We start from the raw sequence: 15,798 nt of genomic DNA, 5'->3' as shown, positions 1-15,798 counted from the left end.
AATCTTGACAGGTTCAGGTTAGCATCTCACTGAACAAGTTTCCCAAACCCCTGAGGCTCATCCAGCATCAAGAGTTATACAGAATTAGCTGCAGATGGATGAGATTTTCAAAGTCTAATTTAAAAAAAAAATCTTTTCAAAAACTAACAATTTAGGGCCAGGCTGAAGTCAAGGTTTTCATTCACATCTTACCGCTGCTTTTTAAAATTATCACTGATTGACAATACTCAAACAGCTACCTTGTCAGAACTTGCTCTTTGGCTAAGAGAACTGAGAATGAAAAACCCTTCTAAACTGAACAGCAGCCCCACTTGAGCAAGTGGCAAGGCTTCAGTGGGAAGAAATTAAGTACAGGATCCATCCCATCCAATGTCAACTAAGGGTAAAAGTCTTAGATCTCACTCCCTGCCTACAAACCTTCTAACAGCCCTAAGAGGCTCTGCAAATTGAGCCCTCAACATTGTCACTACTGTCACTCAGACTCACCAGCACAGCAAGCACTTAGAATCAGAGGAACAAAGACATCTTCGATTTGTAAGCAACTTGGAGATCATCTCATTTAAGCTACTTGTTTTGCAGAAATGGGAGCCTAGCTATAATAAATGTCTTGACCCAGCTCACACAGCGAACTATTTTGGCATACGAAGACTCCAAATTCTCCATTTCATGCTCTTTGTCCTGCATTATGTGGTTTATGCATAAAGCCAATACATCATAATTAAAGATATTCATTCTTTATTTCTTTAATTTTTATGCATTAGAAGTTGCCAGGCCGGGCGTGATGGCTCATGCTTGTAATCCCAGCACTTTGGGAGGCCGAGGTGGATGGATCACCTGAGGTCAGGAGTTCAAGACCAGCCTGACCAACATAGAGAAACCCCATCTCTACTAAAAATACAAACTTAGCCGGGTGTGGTGGCGCATGCCTGTAACCCCAGCTACCCGGGAGGCTGAGGCAGGAGAATGGCTTGAACCCAGGAGGCGGAGGTTGCGGTGAGCCAAGATCACGCCATTGCACTCCAGCCTGGGCAACAAGAGTGAAATCCATCTCAAAAAAAAAAAAAGTTGCCAAAATTTTTCAGCAGCTGTACCTTGGGTCTTCATTAGAAAGGTCCTGTGGAAGATTATATTAACATTCTCAATCATGTGCTCTGCCTCTGTGTAAGAAGATTACACTGCCCCATTGATGTCAGGTTTGATGATGTGACTTGCTTTGGCCAATGATGTGAGTGGAATTGAAGCATGTCACTTATAAGCAAAAGCTTTTAAAGTCATTTATGTTTCCTTTATCTCTCTTTTCTCCCTCTGCTATAAAATTAGTATGTCCCAAATAGGGACTGTTCCTTCAGCCTGGATCCCAGGATAAAGATGGAAAAGAGCTGAGACTGACTCACAGGTGACATATTGTAAATGAGAAAGAAACCTTTGCTGTTGTGAGCCATTAAGATTTTAGGGTTCTTTGTTATTACAGCAATACCTAGTAAAAGCTGACTTCTATAATTCCCAATGAACTGCAATAACAACAAAAATACTTGATCAGTCATCACAAAACAACTCCTATAAAATTGTGAGTAAAGAGACCAATCCAACACAGTGTTTTTTAAGACAAAGACAAGCCATAATTCACTCATTTTTTTATTTGATGTCTTAACTTCCACATCATACAGAACTTTCCTTCTAACCATTGTGTGAAAAGTTGGCTGCAAGATCACTAATAGATGCTTTTCCCTTATCCTCCTCAAGAACACACATCTCATTTCAAAGGAATCAAGATCTGTGAACATGAAATTGAGATGTTCTGTCTCAACATCTGCTCATAGATATACCTTGCTTCTTGAAAGGAAGCTAGAGAGTTGGAGCAATAGAGAAGCCGAACACACCAAAAGCCAAGACCTTGAGGGCTGAAGGCTCAAGCTATTTCTCTCTATGCCCATCCATGATGGTAGTCACCAACAATCACTGCCTCAGAGGCCAGTGGTCATTGTCTGCATAAATCCAGCAATAAAGTCCATCCTGCTGGGTGGGAGAGATAGCAGTACTCTCAGCAGAGCAAGCCACTTGTCTCCCTCCCTTCCTAGATGGTAAACAGGACAATCTCTCATTCAGCTAAGTGCCTACATGTGCAAGGTACCATTAGGCCCAAGGACATACAGAATAAGACAGATAGGGTCCCTGACCTCGATTTATATTTTAGTGGGTGAGACAGATAAAAATCAAGCAAAATAATAGATAAACATAGATTTTGTGAAAAATGTAAAGTGAAGAAGTTTCATTAGTAAGAAATTATAGCACAAATTGTTTTTTAGATAGTAAAAAGCTCTCCCAGAACATGACATTTTAGCTAAGATCTGAAGGATAAGAAGAATTCTGCCATGCAGAGAAAGAGCTGGAAAAAGTATGTTCCAAGCAGTGGGGACAGAAATTGCATAGACTCTGGGCATGAAAGAGCATTACATATTTAGGGAACAGATAGGCTTTTAGGAAAATGAACTTGTGATTGGGGTCGTAAGACCAAACTCAGCATCAGAATAACCAAGACCAAATCAGAGCCAGGGAGTAAACTATAGGGAAACAGACTGTCTAAAATGCTGGAAAGCTAGCTGTCACTGTGCAGTCCTACTGGGTTGCACAGGTACACTCGTGGGCATCAGGATGCAAGGACTGGGTAGGTGGCACACAGGGCAGGCTGTGGAGGGGCTTGGGCACCCAGCAGGCTTGCTAGCAGCTTCCTTCTATGTAAAGTTTGCCACCACTGCCTGGAGGGCTCTACAGCAGCCAGGGAGGGAAGAGGGGACCAGGACCATGGTTGGAAGGAGGCGGTGGTGTCAGGCATGCAGAGAGCCCTGGGTGGAGAGGTGGGGGCAGCTGGGAGTCAGAGAAGTAGAGGAGCAGTAGCCATGCCACTTCCACTTGCATGCCTGTCAGCCTAAGTAAAGTGCCCACCTCCTCCCACAGACTCAAGAGGCATGCCTTCCTCCCACTGGTGCCCAAGCTGGATGTGGGGGTCACATTCCCATGGGGAGCCTGGAGATGCCAAGGTTGTCACCCCCATCAAGAAGGCCCAGGCCTGTGCCCTCATGCTCCGTGGGGTCATTGTAGACAATGCCACCTCAGAGTCCTTGGGCATGGAGCAGCACATGGTACAGAGAGCGGCAGAGTTTGACTCTTTTCATCAACAATAATTGGTGTCCTACATGTAGGGCCTCAGAGACGTCTCAACCCCCAAAGGAGTTGCCCAAACCTAGAACTAAGTGTTAGCATGCCTTTCCCACTTGGAAAGACAAAATAGTGTGTAGGGATTCACATTGTGAACTTTATTCAAAGAAGCAATGAAGGAACTTCACAGGAAAACTGAAAAAAAAAACACAGACCCTTTGAAACACAAGGCAGGCTTCAGGCAAAGCTATAAGTCCCCAGAGTGTGAAAAAGGGGAAAACTGCCTACAGGATACACACCCCCACTGAGGAACCTGGCAATGCAATCCACAGGGGAAGAAGGCCTTAAGCCTACCCAGTACTGATTTAGGGAGCAGTAGATAATATAAAAGTAGGAACAGCAGTGGGAAGAGCCTTGTGGGCATCTCCAGTCTCCAGCATGGACTGCGGGAAGCCATTTCTGATTCTAAACACAGAGGACCTCACAGAAGTCTGCTAGCTAACTCAGGCGGCAGTCACAGGTTGAGAGAAGCTCCCAATTAAAATTCACAATATAATCTCAAGTGGGGACAAACTCCCTTGGCCAGAACCAGGGGGCAAGTGGGAAGTGTGCTACAGCCATGAGTGCAGGAGCTGGGTGCCCCAGCTTTGCAGACAGACTGGGAGGGGCATGGGCATGGCCTGAAACTTTCAGTTGCTATCTCCCCTGGAAGGCTTATGGCCTAGGGCACTTTCGAGTTTTGAGTGTAGACTACTTGGAACTTAGCTAGCTGCTACTAGTGGAACACTACAAGTGAGAGACCTGCCTTCCCAAGTGCGTGGAGTTGGATGAGCTTACTGCTGCTGCTACTCCCCACTCCCTGCACAAGCTCTTCTGTGCAGCAGAGGCAACTATGCTCCTTCCTGTAACATTACCCCTAGTGACCAGAGAACCACCCTCCTAACCCCGCCATGGGCTGCTGCTTGACCTGCACATGGGGAACCAGAGGACAGACCTGCCTGACCCAGTCCCCACCTGGCTTTGCCCTTCCACCCATCCTAGTAGCTTAATACAAAGGACAAAAACATTTGGGAGCATTATAGCCCCATCCATCACCTGAGACACTAGAATACCTCCCCTGGGTAACATAAGGCAAACACAAATCCTACTGCTGCTACCACAGCTGGTGCTCTTTTTCAAGTGCCACCTCCTGGCTGGAGGCTAACAGACACAGTTCATGAGAGTATCTGCAGGTAGAATAACCCTGCACCCAGGAAGGAGAAAACTTGTGTGTGACCTCAGCTATGACCACTGCCTGCAACACCCTGGATAATCAGGAGGTCCTGATACTGCTCAGATGATCCGTTCATTACTGCTACAACTGGCGCTTGAGAAAACCAATGCACTGAGGCTATTTATAACCAAGGACTCTCACAGAGTCTATGTCACTCCCCTGCCACCCCCATCAGACCTGGTGCTGGTACCCACTACTGGGAGACTTGAGGGCAGGTCACACCACAAGATCCCTTGCATTCCCCAGCACCAGCCTGGAGTGAGGCAGCCCCACTGGGCGGCTAGACCCAGAGGAGCAGCAGCATTCACAGTAATGTGACTCTCAGGGACTCCTACTCCTAGGGGAAGAGGGAGTGTGCCACAACAAGGGAACACCCCATGGGACAAAAAAATCTGGACAGCAGGCCTTGAGTCTCAGATCTGTCTGCTACTGGGAAGTTTCTTTCATCAGAGGCACAGTTGCAGTGCTGGGCTCAGTGGAGAAAGTCTACAGCTCTACCCTAACAGTCAGGCAACCCTGGGGCTCATGAAGGGTCTTGGAGAAGGGGACTTCTTTCCCCCTCATCCACCACTGCAGACATAGCTAGGGCTTCTCCCATGGGAGTTTGGTGTGGGTGTGGCTATAGACAGCCTTCCTGGAACACTTCAGGGTGTTCCACAGGTGGAGCTTGCATGACAGTTAGAGTCACAACTTCTCTCTACTTGGAACATCAACATTACCACAAATGAAAAGAGGTGTCTGTTTGCTCTGAATAGCAAAAACACTGGGACAGGAGTGTGTCTGAAAGGTAGATTGCTTTCCTACTGGACTGGCAGGGGATCTGAGGTGTTTCCCACCCTTCCCCATGATAAGACCTCAGTGTGTTTCACTAAGAGCTCCCCCAGTCACCTGTGTCAAGGCTAGGACCTCTGCCCACCATTGAGTATTGCATTCACTCACCTACTTTAGCCACAACAGGTTTCTACCCAGGAACACCTCCCCTACTGGTCTGAAGCCTGAACTATTCAACCCAGTAAATAAAAACAGTAAGTAAAATACTGGGAAAAAAACATAAATACGTGCCCACCACAGAGGGATAAGATAAGCTTCAAGAGACCTCTGCCATTCCAACCACACAGGAGACAATGAACTTGCTCACACACCGAGCACATTGCTACTACAACCGGCATCTGAGAAAGCCAGCCTACATCTATAATCAAGGAATGCGTACAAAGTCTTCACCAATGAAAGCACGAAAAGCCAAATTAGGCTACAATAAACTATAAACATTAAAGTCGCATCCTTAAGAGGGAAAAAAGGAAATTTAAAAAAAAGTAAAATCAAAAATAAATTTATAATAATTAGAAGAAATAGTCTACCCAAATGAGAAGGAACTAGAACAATGATTCTGTTACGATGACAAAACAGTGTTCTATAACACCCACAGAAGATCACACCAGCTCTCCAGCAATGGATCCAAAACAAAATGAAGTCTTTGAAATACCAGATGAAGAATTCAAAAGGTTAATTATTAAGCTACTCAAGGAGTTATCAGAGAAATGTGAAAACCAACCTAAAGAAATTTTTAAAACAATTCAAGATATGAATGAAAAATTTTCTAAAAGGACAGACATTTTACAGATAAATCAATCAGAACTTCTGGAAATGAAAAACATATTTAGGGAATTACAAAATGCAGCAGAAAGTGTTAACAACAGACTAGAACAAGTAGAGGAAAGAATGTCAGAGCTCAAAGACAAGGCCTTCAAATTAACCCAATCAGATGAAAATAAAGACAAAAGACATGAATGAAGTCTCCAAGAAATACGGGACTTTGTAAAAAGGCCAGACCTAAGAATAATTGGTGTTCCTGAGGGAGAAGAGAAAGCAAAAAGTTTGGAAAATTTATTTGAAAGAATAACTGAAAAAAACTTTCCTGGTCTTGCTAGATAGAAATTCAGATATCCAAATACAAGAAGCCCAAAGAACGGGGAGATTAATTGCAAAAAGGACATCACAAAGGCATATAATCATCAAGCTATCTAAAGTAACATGAAGAAAAGAGTTCTAAGAGCACTGAGACAAAAATAATCAGGTAACCTATAAAGAAAAACCTATTAGAATAACAGCAAACTTCTCAGCAGAAATCTTACAAGCCAGAAGGGACTGAGATCCCATCTTTAGCCTCCTTACACAGAATAACTGTCAGCCACAAATTTTGCATCCAGCAAAAATAAGTTTCATAGATGAAGGAGAAATAAAGGCATTTTCAAACAAACAAATGCTGAGGGAATTTGTCACTACCAGATCAGCCCTACAAGAAATGCAGAAATAAATGAACTTGAAACAAGGAAAATACAAAAGATCAATGAAACAAAAAGTTCGTTATTTGAAAGAACAAACAAAACTGATAGGCCATTAGCTAGATTAACCAAGAAAAGAAGAGGGATGATTCAAATAAGATCAATCAGAAATAAAACTGGAGACATTACAACTGATGCCACAGAAATACAAAAGATCATTGGAGACTACTATGTATAGTTTTATGCACACAAACTAGAAAATCTAAAGAAAATGGATAAATCCTGAAAACATACAACCCTCCTAGAATAAATCAGGAAGAAATAGTAACACTGAACAGACGAATAACAACTTGTAGGATTGAACTGGTAATAATAATATATAAAAAACTGCCAACAAAAAAAAAGTCCAGGACCAGATAGATTCATACCTGAATTCTACCAAACATTCAAAGAAGAACTGGTACCAATCCTACTAAAACTATTCCAAAAGATTGAGAAAGAGGGAATCCTCCCTAATTCATTATATGAAGCTAGTATCATCCCAATACCAAAACCAGGAAAGGACATAATAAAAAAGAAAACTACAGACCAATATCCCTGATGAATATAGATGCAAAAACCCTCAACAAAATACTAGCTAACCAAATCCAACAGCACATCAAAATGATAATACACCATGATCCAGTGAGTTTCATCCCAGGGATGCAGGCATAGTTTAACATACACAAGTCAATGTGTATACATTATGTGATGTGATACATCACATAAACAGAATTAAAAACCAAAACCATGTGATCATCTCAACAGATGCAGAGAAAGCATTCATTAAATTCCAGCATTCCTTTATGATAAAAACCCTCAACAAACTAGGCATAGAAGGGACTTACCTCAAAATAATAAAAGTCATATAAGACAAATCCACAGCCAACACCATATGGAATGGGGAAAAGTTGAAAGAATTCCCCTTAAGAACTGGAACAAGACAAGGATGCCCACTTTCACAGTTTGTATTCAACATAGTACTGGAAGACCTAACCAGAGCAATTAGGCAAGAGAAGGAAATAAAGGGCATCCAAATTGGAAAAGAGGAAGTCAAACTATCGCTGTTCACTGATAATATGATTGTATACCTAGAAAACCCTAAAGTCTCCTCCAAAAGACTCCTAGATTTGATAAACAAATTCAGTAAAGTCTCAGGTTAGAAAATCCATGTACACAAATCAGTATCACTGCTATACACCAACAATGACCAAGCTGAGAATCAAATCAAGAACTCAATCCCTTTTACAACATATGCAAACAATAAAATAAAGTACCTAGGAATATACTTAACCAAGGAGGTGAAAGATATCTACAAGGAGAACCTACAAAATACTGCTGAAAGAAATCAGAGATGACACAAACAAATGGAAATACATTCCGTGCTCATGGATTAGAAGAATCAATATTGTAAAAATCACCATACTGCCCAAACCAATCTACAGATTTAATGCAATTCCTATTAAACTACCAATATCATTTTTCACAGAATTAGGAAAAAAAATCCTTAAATTCATATGAAACCAAAAAGGAGCCCAAGTAGCCAAGGCAATCCTAAGAAAAAAAATAAATCTGGATGTATCACATTATCAGACTTCAAATTATACTACAAGGCTATAATCACCCAAACAGCATGGTACTGGTATAAAAGTAGACACATAGACCAATAAACCATAACTGAGAACCTGGAATTAAACCAAATACTTCTTCAACAAAGCATGCAGAAATATAAATTGGGGAAAGGACACCTTATTTAATAAATGGTGCTTGGAAAAGTGGCTAGCCACATGCAGAAGAATAAAGCTGGATCCCTATTTCTCACCTATATAAAAATCAACTCAAGATGGATCAAAGACTTAAATCTAAGAACAAAAACTATAAAAATTCTAGAAAATAATGTAGAAGAAACTCTTCTGGACATTGGCCTAGGCAAAGAAGTCATAACTAAGACCCCAAAAGCAAATGCAACAAAAACAAAAATATGTAAATGGGAACTGATTAAACTAAAAAGCCTCAGTACAGCAAAAGAAATAATCATGAGAGTAAACAGACAACCCACAGAATGGGAGAAAATATTTGCAAACTGTATCTGACAAAGGACTAATATCCAGAAGCTACAAGAAACACAAACAAATCAGCAAAAAATAAATAAATAATCCCACCAAAAAAGTGGACAACGGGCATGAATAGACATTTCTCAAAAGAAGATAGATGTACAAATGGTCAACAAATGCATGAAAAAATGTTCAACATCACTATTCATCAGAGAAATGTAAATTAAAACCACTTTACTCCTGGAAGAGTAAAAAGTCAAAAAATTATTAAAAAGTAAAAAAATAGTAGATGTGGGCATGGACGTGGTAAAAAGGAACACTTATACGCTGCTAGTGGGAGTGTAAATTAGTACAACCTCTATGAAAAACAGTATGGAGATTTCCTAAAGAACTAAAAGTAAGTTTACCTTTCGATCCAGCAATCCCACTACTGGGTATCTACCCAAAGGAAAAGCAGCAAATATATCAAAAGGATACCTGCACATGTGTATTTATTGCAGCACAATTCATAACAGCAAAGATATGGAACCAACCTAAGTGCCCATCGACCAATGAGTGGATAAAGAAAATGTGATATATATACACCATGGAATACTACTAAGCCATAAAAAGGAATGAAATAATATCTTTTGCAGCAACTTGGATGGAGCTGGAGGCATTATTTTAAGTTAAATAACTCAGGAATGGAAAACTAAGTACTGTACGCTCTCACTTATAAGTGAGAGCTAAGCTATGGGTACACAAAGGCATACAGAGTGACAAGGGACTTTGGAAACTCAGAAGGAAGGTGGGAGGGGGAGGGATAAAAAACTACATATTGGGTACATTGTACACTACTCAGGTGATGGGGTCACTAAAATCTCAGACTTCACCACTATACAATTCATCCATGTAGCCAACAACCACTTGTACCCCCAAAAGCTACTAAAAATTTTTAAAATTAATAAAAATAAAATAAAATAAATTCTGGATAGCTAGAGGCAGAAATATTTTTCCTACATAATTGAATACTGACTCTCCTCCAACAAGGATGTGGCTTGGCTGATGCTGAATTTGGTTCAAATCAGGTAAGTGTAAGGAGACAGTACATAGAACACTAAGCTAAGTCTTGATGTGTGTCTTACATATAAAATACTTGGGGTACAGCAAAAATCTGGCTGTTTCTTAGAACCAGCAAGACCCTATTCTGCTCAGCACAGACATCTCAATGAGGAATTAGCAATGAGAAAAAAAGCACTATGAAAATATGCTGCATCTGCTCCCATCCTCTGTGGCCATCCTTTTTCTCAGAAGTTTCTGGGCCTTGACTATACCAATAAGGGTGGGGTTTGTGTGTGTACGTGTCTGTGTGTCTGTGTGTCTATGTGTTCAGTTTCCAAATCATACCTCACCTCATATACTGCAGGCAGCCGGTGTGGGTGTGTCCCCACAACTGAAAAGTAGAGTAGACAAGACAAGGTTGGAATATGGCAAGAACAAGATGACACAGAACCTTGCAGTCCACGGGAAGACATTTGCATTTTATTCCAAAGAACAATAGGGAGCTTAGAAGGGCACATGGTCTGACTTGTGCTTCATTTCTATGAACATCGCTGCTGTGCTGAAGTACGATAGAAGGGGGCATTGTGACCAGTGAGGAGTACCATTGAAGAGGGCCATGCAAGAGGTCACAGTGGCAAAGACCAAGGTGATGCAGTGAGTGAACAGAAGTGGATGGTTTAACAGATATTTGAAAGGACTTTGTGATGGACTGATGTGAGAGCAGGAAAAAGAGAAAAATAGACAATGATTTCTAGGATTTTTGCTTGAATGACTAGATACATAAGAGTGCCATTTACTGAAATGACAAACAATGTTGAGTAGAGTGGCAAATTTAGTGGGAGGAAAAATAGAGGAAATTAGGAGTTCACTTGTGACCATATTAAGTCAGTGAAATCTGTAAAGTATCCAGGTGGTGCTAAGCAGGCAATTTTATATAAGAGTCAGGAGCTCAGAGGACAGAACAGAGCTATGGATATGAATTAGGGGTTTGTCAAGACATAAATGGTGTGAAGAAAGGAAGTTTCCTATACTATTTAGAAATTGTGTTTGCTAGAATCACAAGCTTATTTTTCTCAAATAAACCTATAATGAGAAAACCAAGATAAAGTGGCTTGATGGTTTCTGACTAGAAATTGGATTTATGAATTTATGTGGAAAAGGAGTTAAGGAATAAAGTCAGTGATGTCGTTTGCAGTGTTGGTGGGCACATGGCAGCCTAAGTACATGAATGCAATCTCCTACCCTAGACATACTCTAATATATACAATGTCTTATAACACACACAAAGTGAATAAATGCAATTCCCCACAACGAATATTTAAAAGAAACTTTGCAGTAACCATAGCCTCATGGTCAAAGATTATATTCCATAGATGATTACAATAAACCTCTGTAAGAAAGAAGGGAAACATCCCAGGAAATCCCTTTACCTTTCCAGCAAATAAATCAGCCACAAATTCAATTTTACAATGAGAAGAGCAAGTATATAGAGATCTAACCTTAACAGGACTTTTAGCCCATCTAGCTAATATACTTTATTCTTTGTGCCTTTATGGTAACTATTTGTAAATATCCCTCAACTGCGTTCCTTATCTTTTGAGCAAACGATAAGGAGTAGCTCAGTGCTTCACATTCTCAAAGACACTTGTGTCAACAGTCTTTCTTCCTCTCACGATTTCCCATTAAATTATTTATCATTAAATTATATGGCCTACAATTTCAACTACAACCTTAGCCAAGGTTGACTCAAAGTGCCTTGGGCTACAATAAACTTCTCCTCTCACAATGCACTGGATGAAATCGCCTTGGGGGCAAGTATAGACATGGGAGGGAAGAAGGCTTGAAATTGAACCCGGAGGAATTCCAACATCAGAGGCCAGTTGAGGAGGGTGACACCATGAGCAGGACTGAGAGAGTGAGGTAGGAGGTATAACAGGAAAGTGTGATGTAAGAGAAGTTATGGGCATTTGTTGTTTCTGCTTCCCAGTATTCAGTCCCTTTTTTGTGGTAACAGAAACCCAAATACTCTTTAGGGGAACTGCCTTTCTCTCACTCTAAATACACGAGATTTGGGTGAGACTAATTCTCCCATAGGTCTAGGGTTGAAGAATTTGACTAAGGACTTTGCCAATCAATGTATTCCATCACTCTGGCCACAGCAGTTGCTTCAGTGATGAACACGGAGCTTAAGACAAGATAAAAGACCCAGTCTGTACTAATCCCAGGACTTGCTGGCTGAGGTGTAATTTTTCTTGCTGGGTTGGCACGTAAGTAAATGAGAGCAGAATCCATAGCAGCCATCTTGTCACCATGAGGGGAGAGTAAAGCACGTATGAGAATGGAACCAACCTGGAGAAAATGGAGCCAAGAAATAGACAAAAAGCAGTCCTAGCTACACCATCTGAGCTCTGGCATGAGACCATACCTAAAGCCACCCTCACCAGGAAAATTTGAGTATATGAGCCAATGGATTATCATTTTGCCTGGCTGCATTTGGCCTGGGTTTTTCTCATCAGCAAGAAAGTCCTAACTAATGGAGAAAGCAAGAAAAGAGACTGCTTCAAGGAGTGCTCAACTGCAGAATACACTGATTAGAGGTTTAAATGAGTCAGGAAAGTTTCCGCAGAATTTGACAACATGGAGGCCACGGGGAGCCTTGACAAGATCAGTTGCAGTGCAGGGGTGGATTAGAACCAAATTCAAGTGGTCCTGTGGATATCCTCCACGTATGTGTACAGTCATGGCTGTACAGTCATGGCTTCTAAGTGATAACGTGGAGTAGAAAGAGCCCTAGACAGAGAACCAGAAATCTGGATTCCAGACACAGCTCAGCCACTAACCAGCTATTTGACCATGGATAAATCACTTACTTAACCTGTTGGGTTTAACAGTTTCTTCATCTATCAAGTGACTACACCTGCCTGGCACCTGGGGGCCCCTTTTGCTTTAAAATTCTCAGTATTTTGCTATTTTTACCAAACTTATACTGTCCTGAAACTAAGTAGGAGAGGTCATCCAGATCCCCCCAGGTCTCATTAGCATTCTTTCCTATGCCACTAAATTAAATTCTCCTTGGCTCGATTTTCATTTCGTAGTGATTATTTTATTGAAGCCCAAATCACTGTTGTGGTTGGTTTGTGCAGAAGACAGGGTGTGCAGCCCTTGCTTCTGGCATCCCAGACTCAGGCTTTTCTCTGTGAGCATCCATGGCTGATGCTTTCCACATCTCCCCTCTGAGCTGGGGCCTCTGCACCACTTCTCCTCTTGTCATTGCTCTCACTGTTCAACAACGATACAGGTTATGGGCTCCATGGTATGTGTCCAGAAAAGTTTCACGGGCCTTTTGATCCTCTAAAATGCAAAGATTTTTGCTGATCACTTCTCATTCTTGGCAGAGTCTTCTCTGAAGAGTGTTGAATATGTGCTGCCCTTTACTTCACATCATGGGCCAATCCCATTGCAAACCAGGCACTGGCCATAGGGCAAAACATGCACAAAAGGTCAGCAGCTGTCAAAGTGCTTACCTCTTATTTAGTTCAGTTGGGAGCAGGACAAGAGGGGTTAAGTTTTCAACAGGATAACATACCGTATATATCAGCACTAACAATGAGGTTTTATTTCCCTGAGTCAGCTTTAAAAATAATGTTGACTTTTATGGTCGATACATTATAGATCACCATATTTATGTCAGAACATATTGGCAGGAAAATAAATCAATGAAAATATTAATACACGAGCCTTGTGTTTAAATGAAACCCCTTGCAACTCCACACCTTCCCCTCATATTTCACTGTAAGGCTTTCAGAGACCTCCCCATTGACATGTTTTACTGAACAGGAAATCAAGGGTTATATTCATTTTCTAAAAGTACTGTTTTTAATCTGTCTTGTATATAATCGGATTCAAAAATACACACTTTGCTCTTTTACCATAATATACATAACTGCATTCCATCATTAATAGTACTGTCAATTCAAATATATGGTTTATGCATGAACAAAATATCTCAGAGCCAAAGCTCTGACTGGCATACTATTAATAAATGAAACTCTCTGTGTTGGAGGCCAGCTTCAAATATTATATTTGCTATTCACATTTGTTTTAGAGTCATGAGAAATTTCTAAGTATGTGTTTCAGAAAGCAAGTTCATAATTTAGACATTATTTAAAAACATAAAGTGAAAAAGAAAATTTGCCCTCTTGAGTGTATCTTCTCTTTCTGCTGCTCTTCCATACATGCCATGCACCTGTTACTCACAGCCCCCTTCTGAGGGGAACTATGTTTCTGAAAGACCCTAAAGACAGAGCAACCCTGAATGTTCATCTCCATCAAGTATGCACTGCTCATTAACTCCGTGAGCCACATGACACCAGCCTCTGGCCATAGTGAAGGGGCCACCCAGCCAGTTAATATGTGTGCTGACCTACTGCCTGTGAGAGGTCTGGCTGTGCTGTCCTACCCAAACAGAAATAATGCTGACTACCTGGGCCAATCAGTGTCTTGGGAAAATTTCTTTGGCTCTGCCTGCAGTTAGTAATTTGCAACAGGAGCAGAAGACAAAGGATGCTCAGAGAGAAGGCAGAGTCAGGAGAGGCAAGGAAGAAACAGGAAGTGTTTAGAAGAAAGCAATGAAATAATAGAAGAAAGATGAAGGCATTGGTTGATAGCAGCAGAAGAGTTGCTAGGGGTAGTCTTTAAGCCCTCCCTCACCCACATATTTCATTCATCACCAAGTCATATTCATTAGCCCCCTACATACCCACCTATTCCTCATCTATCTTCCAGACTAGAGCAATAGCCTCCTAATTCATCTCCCAGTGTTCCTTGCTCTCCAAACAGCAGAGTGATATTTTTTCAATATGCAAATTTGAGCAGGTTTCTCTGTTTTTCTTACACACACACACAGAGCTGGTGAGACACACACACAAACACTAAACACTTTAGTGGTCCAAATCAATTTGATCTAAAGGGGAAAGGCTTCCCTACGGTAACACAGAATATCTTTATGACCCCAAGGTAGAGAAAGATTCTTAAACCAGATACAAAAAGTAGGACCATAAAACAAAAATTGATAATTTGGACTATATTAAAATTAAGAACTTCCAATCCTCAAAAAAAAATACATATATACCATTATGCCAGAGAAAAGGTAAGGCACAGAGTAGGAAAAAAATTATTGTAATGTGTAATGTAAAGACTTTTACCCAAAATATATTTTTAAAACTCCTAGAAATCAATAACCAAAAGATAGACAAGTCAATAGAAAAAATAACAGTAAAAAGAAACTGGAAAAATCACTTCCCATGAAACTATCCAGGGCCAGATACAGCATGAACCCTTCATCTCCCATGAAGAGGCACCCAGGAGTATGTGGGGAGGGAGGGATTAATACTTCAAAGGGCAAAAGTAAAATAGGGTCCGTGACAAAGGAAATCCTCTCTCTTTAAGTGTGTCTTCTCTTTCTGATCCTCTTCTGTTCTCACAGGATGTGCCATGCACCCGCTGTCACAGCCCCCTTTGGAGGAGAACTTTCTCAAAGCCCCTGCAGGAAGAGCAGCCCTGAAGCTCATCCAGGGAGTGTGGGCCTGGCCAGAAGGAGACAGGAGCTGCTGGATAAATGCTTCCCTCTCCTGTGCCTGAGGATATGAGGCACAATCGATTCCTGAGACACAGGAGATGCAGGTTTCAGATTCTCAGAGGACCGTCCCTTGGGATTGAGCACTCAGTTGCCTTGGGTGTGGGCCAACTCAATAATGCATCTTCAAATCCTCACATTTGGTTCTCCCGCCTTCAACAGGTCATTCCCCTGTCCCTCACTCCTGCTCCCTCGGATTACACTCTCCAATAAAACGGTAGCCCATTCAGCCTTGGCTCTGCTTTCTGGGTGACTCAGGCTAAGACAGCATGGTTCTCCCTCCTCCCCAACATGTTGAGTGTCCAGAGCTGCTGTAGA

This window comes from Homo sapiens, chromosome 3, assembly GCF_000001405.40.
Source record: "Homo sapiens chromosome 3, GRCh38.p14 Primary Assembly".
NCBI lineage: Eukaryota > Metazoa > Chordata > Mammalia > Primates > Hominidae > Homo > Homo sapiens.
The sequence above is the reverse complement of the archived record's forward strand: the minus strand, read 5'-3'. Positions refer to the sequence as shown.